This window comes from Homo sapiens, chromosome 8 (assembly GCF_000001405.40).
Source record: "Homo sapiens chromosome 8, GRCh38.p14 Primary Assembly".
Classification (NCBI taxonomy): Eukaryota; Metazoa; Chordata; class Mammalia; order Primates; family Hominidae; genus Homo; species Homo sapiens.
The window spans coordinates 58,366,974-58,372,356 of NC_000008.11; the positions used below are offsets into that span (position 1 = coordinate 58,366,974).

The following is a 5,383-nucleotide window of genomic DNA, read 5'->3' on the forward strand; positions in this document are numbered from 1 at the left end:
AGGAGGAATAAGTTCTGTTGTTCTATTGCACAGTAGGGTGACTATGGTTTAACATTCAGGCATTGCAAAATAGCTAGAAGAGAGGTTTTTGAATGTTCTCATCACAAAGAAATGATAAATACATGAGGTGATAGATATACTAACTACCCTGATTTGATTATCATATAATATATGCATTATCAAAACATCAAATTGTACCCCATAAGTAGGTATAATCACAATCTCTGTTTAAAAAAAATGCCTCTTCAATTGATGAATTATTAAATGAAATAAGTAGGAACTTTCTATAGCTATTCCTCACAAAATTCAAAAAGGCTGAGAGTAGACACTGTGAGAAAAGAAGCAGTATTACAGATCTTACTAATATAGACTTTAATCATCATACTATCTTACCCCCAGGCCATTATCTCCTCCCACACTCCAAAAGTAAGTATAACATAGGTGTATAGCCATTTATTCCATTTATCCATTTTGGTATATAGTTTTCCATTTCATAGATATAATTTAAAATATCTGTTAATATACTGCATGTGTTTTTATATTATAGAATATAACAATATTTTTGTGTAATTTGCTTGTATGACTCCATATTATGTTTTAAGAACTATCCAATACATGCAGGAACAGTTACATAGTGATATATGACACAACAGTTTATCTCTTTTAACTGTGGTATGATCTTATTACAACTTATCATATAATTTATTCCTTCCTTTATTGATGACTATTTAGTTTGTTTGCAAATTTTTGTTGTCGTAAACAATCTTAAGTGAATATGCTTGTTCACGTGTCTTGTGTTTTTGTGCCAGAAAATCTCACAGTACTGTGCTGGACCTGACTCTGATGACTCTTGAGAACCAATGGTGCAGATCTCTTTCTTATCTGGCTTCAGTGACATTATATAACTAGAATATGACCACGATGGGAGCATTTCCACAGTAGAAAAGGGCAAACCTACAAATTAAGTACCCCCTAACCCTGCACTGGAAAATTCAGCTGTTACACATTTACCCACACACACTGGGTGTATATTGCCTGAAATAGAATTGCTACTATTAGAGTGTGATCATTTTCATTTTTCTGGATGCCTCCAAATTTGCTGTACCACCGTCTACTCCCACTCAACAGTATATGAAAGCAGTGCCTCTAAAACATCTTTAGGCCTTTAAAAGGCTTGATATTGCCAAACATATTAATTTATGCCTATATATGAGAGAGATAAAAAGTGGCATCTCATCAGTGGTTCATTTGCATTTTCCCACTAGCCAGTGAAGTTAAGCATGTTTTCATTTGCATAGTAAACTTTTGAATTTCCTTGCCTTCAAATTGTGTTGTTCATTTTTAAATCAGCCAGTCTTTTTTCTTGAATTGTAGGAGTTCTTTACATAGTCTGGAAAATTAGTCTTTGTTTGGTATGCAATTTACAAATATCTTTTGTCAATCTGTTGCTTGTCTTTTAACCTTGCTCGTGGTGTTTGCCATGTACTAACCGTGTGACCTTAAGAAAGTCACTTAACATCTATGAATCTCATATTTTTCATCTGTAAAACTGGAATAATGGTAACCACCACGTTGGCTTGCTGGAAATAAATGAATTGATACACGTAAACCAGTGCCTAGTAATTACTATTATTAATTATCACTTCACTGCTCTACAGAAGTTTTTGGTTTTGACATAGTTTTTGTTTGTTTGTTTGTTTCTCTATGGTTGTTTAAGCATTTTTCAAATCCAAGAGGTGAAGGAATAGACTATTCTATCTTCTTGTAGTTTTAGAATTTTTCAGATTTAGATCATTTACACATTTTACACTGCTTTTTCCTTCCATTTATCCTGAGCACCTAGCCGGAACTTCTGAAGCCAGTAGGTGCTCAATAAATGCTTACAGAAGGAGGAATGGTAGGGAGAAGGGATTAGCACTAATTTCCCAGAAGTGGTTCTGCTGAGAAACTCAACGGGGAGAGAGACAAACAGAGAGCTAGTGGGATAAATCGCTATGAACTACACTTATGACCTGCTAAAATGGAAATCCCTTACTCTCTTGTCATACTTATGTCAAGTCTTACAAAAGATTAATAATTGATGACTCCCAAAACAAGCAAGAGCAGGTGATATCTTCCTTGCAATGTTTTATACACAGTAATGAACTCTTGTTTTATTTCCATCCCACACAGTATCTGTGTAGTTCTTAGACTTTAAACTATCTCCCCCTGAAACATATTTTTTTCCCACAAATTCTTGGGATTCTTAGGGGAAATCCAATTAGAATTTAGAGTTGAAAAGTAGGATAGGAGGACACACAAATGAGCCTCAGGCCTCTGCTTTTCCCATTCCCGAACCAGATCTCTACCTGAAGGTCCATGGTCTATGTGGGTGAGCCAAAGAACTAGCACACAAAATCCTCACATCTAGTAGCATCTATTCCAAGTAGAATCTGTAGACTGAAGAGATAATAGTACCATTACTAGCAGTCAGGGTGTCCTCATACTTAAGAAGTTTGGGGACCCCCAAACTGCATGATAGACAACAACAAAAAATGGATTTCCAAACATTTACCTAGAAGCCAAACTTTCAAATTCATGACAAGCTGGAACACCAAAAATTGATTTTGGCTTATTGACCTCTTCTATTTGCCTTTAGTCCACTCATCAATGAATTGTTATTGCAATGTTAAACTCCTTGAGATTAGAAATTTTTATTAGTTTTCTAATAAAATTTATTTTCTCTATTCCTTTTTCCTGTTGTCATACATGATGCAATACATGTTTCTAATGTTCAGTCTACCACATTGTTCCAAACTAACATGACCTGACTTATAGGTCATTTAGGACCTGACTTAACTACAAATCATTAGCCTTTAAAAAAAAAAAAACAGAGGCTTGGCACAGTGGCTCACGCCTGCAATCCCAATACTTTGGGAGGCTGAGGTGGGCAGATTGCCTGAGCTCAGGAGTTGGAGACCAGCCTGGGCAACACAGTGAAACCCTGTCTCTACTAAAATACAAAAAATTAGCTGGGCATGGCAGCATGAGTCTGTATTCCCAGCTATTTGGGAGGCTGAGGCAGTAGAATTGCTTGAACCTGGGAGGCGGAAGTTGCAGTGAGCCGAGGTCATGCCACTGCACTCCAGCCTGGGCAAGAGAGTGAGACTCTGTCTTAAAAAAAAAAAAAAAAAGGTGTGGATCAGAGGGAGGAGCCAAGATGGCCGAATAGGAACAGCTCTGGTCTACAGCTCCCAGCGTGAGCAACGCAGAAGACGGGTGATTTCTGCATTTCCATCTGAGGTACCGGGTTCATCTCACTAGGGAGTGCCAGACAGTGGGTGCAGGTCAGTGGGTGCGCCCACCATGCACGAGCTGAAGCAGGGCGAGGCATTGCCTCACTCGGGAAGCGCAAGGGGTCAGGGAGTTACCTTTCCTAGTCAAAGAAAGGGGTGACAGACGGCACCTGGAAAATCGGGTCACTCCCACCCGAATACTGTGCTTTTCCGACGGGCTTAAAAAATGGCGCACCAGTAGATTATATCCTGCACGTGGCTTGGAGGCCCCTATGCCCACGGAGTCTCGCGGATTGCTAGCACAGCAGTCTGAGATCAAACTGCAAGGTGGCAGCGAGGCTGGGGGAGGGGTGCCCGCCATTGCCCAGGCTTGCTTAGGTAAACAAAGCATCCGGGAAGCTGGAACTGGGTGGAGCCCACCACAGCTCAAGGAGGCCTGCCTGCCTCTGTAGGCTCCACCTCTGGGGGCAGGGCACAGACAAACAAAAAGACAGCAGTAACCTCTGCAGACTTAAATGTCCCTGTCTGACAGCTTTGAAGAGAGCAGTGGTTCTCCCAGCATGCAGCTGGAGATCTGAGAACGTGCAGACTGCCTCCTCAAGTGGGTCCCTGACCCCTGACCACCTTGCAGCCTAACTGGGAGGCATCCCCCAGCAGGGGCAGACTGACACCTCACACGGCCGGGTACTCCAACAGACCTGGAGCTGAGGTCCTGTCTGTTAGAAGGAAAACTAACAAACAGAAAGGACATCCACACCAAACACCCATCTGTACGTCACCATCATCAAAGACCAAAAGTAGATAAAACCACAAAGATGGGGAAAAAACAGAGCAGAAAAACTGGAAACTCTAAAAAGCAGAGCGCCTCCCCTCCTCCAAAGGAACGCAGTTCCTCACCAGCAATGGAGCAAAGCTGGACAGAGAATGACTTTGACGAGCTGAGAGAAGAAGGCTTCAGACGATCAAATTACTCCAAGCTACGGGAGGAAATTCAAACCAAAGGCAAAGAAGTTGAAAACTTTGAAAAAAATTTAGAAGAATGTATAACTAGAGTAACCAATACAGAGAAGTGCTTAAAGGAGCTGATGGAGCTGAAAACCAAGGCTCGAGAACTATGTGAAGAATGCAGAAGCCTCAGGAGCCAATGTGATCAACTGGAAGAAAGGGTATCAGCGATGGAAGACAAAGTGAATGAAATGAAGCGAGAAGGGAAGTTTAGAGAAAAAAGAATAAACAGAAACGAGCAAAGCTTCCAAGAAATATGGGACTATGTGAAAAGACCAAATCTATGCCTGATTGGTGTACCTGAAAGTGATGGGGAGAATGGAACCAAGTTGGAAAACACTCTGCAGGATATTATCCAGGAGAACTTCCCCAATCTAGCAAGGCAGGCCAACATTCAGATCAGGAAATACAGAGAACGCCACAAAGACACTCCTCGAGAAGAGCAACGCCAAGACACATAATTGTCAGATTCACCAAAGTTGAAATGAAGGAAAAAACGTTAAGGGCAGCCAGAGAGAAAGGTCGGGTTACCCTCAAAGGGAAGTCCATCAGACTAACAGCGGATCTCTCAGCAGAAACTCTACAAGCCAGAAGAGAGTGGGGGCCAATATTCAACATTCTTAAAGAAAAGAATTTTCAATCCAGAATTTCATATCCAGCCAAACTAAGCTTCATAAGTGAAGGAGAAATAAAATACTTTACAGACAAGCAAATGCTGAGAGATTTTGTCACCACCAGGCCTGCCATAAAAGAGCTCCTGAAGGAAGCGCTAAACATGGAAAGGAACAACTGGTACTAGCCGCTGCAAAATCATGCCAAAATGTAAAGACCATCGAGACTAGGAAGAAACTGCATCAACTAACGAGCAAAATAACCAGCTAACATCATAATGACAGGATCAAATTCACACATAACAATATTAACTTTAAGTGTAAATGAACTAAATGCTCCAATTAAAAGACAGAGACTGGCAAATTGGATAAAGAGTCAAGACCCATCAGTGTGCTGTATTCAGGAAACCCATCTCACGTGCTGAGACACACATAGGCTCAAAATAAAAGGATGGAGGAAGATCTACCAAGCAAATGGAAAACAAAAAAAGG

The 5,383-nt window shown here is 40.8% G+C and overlaps 1 annotated feature.

Annotated features, from left to right (window-relative positions):
• Positions 3,130-3,674: an enhancer, noted in NCBI's record as "H3K27ac-H3K4me1 hESC enhancer chr8:59282662-59283206 (GRCh37/hg19 assembly coordinates)". NCBI's record gives its function as "activates a minimal SCP1, AML or CMV promoter by ChIP-STARR-seq in primed H9 embryonic stem cells {active_cell/tissue: H9 hESC(primed)}" and the evidence as "EXISTENCE:reporter gene assay evidence [ECO:0000049][PMID:30033119]".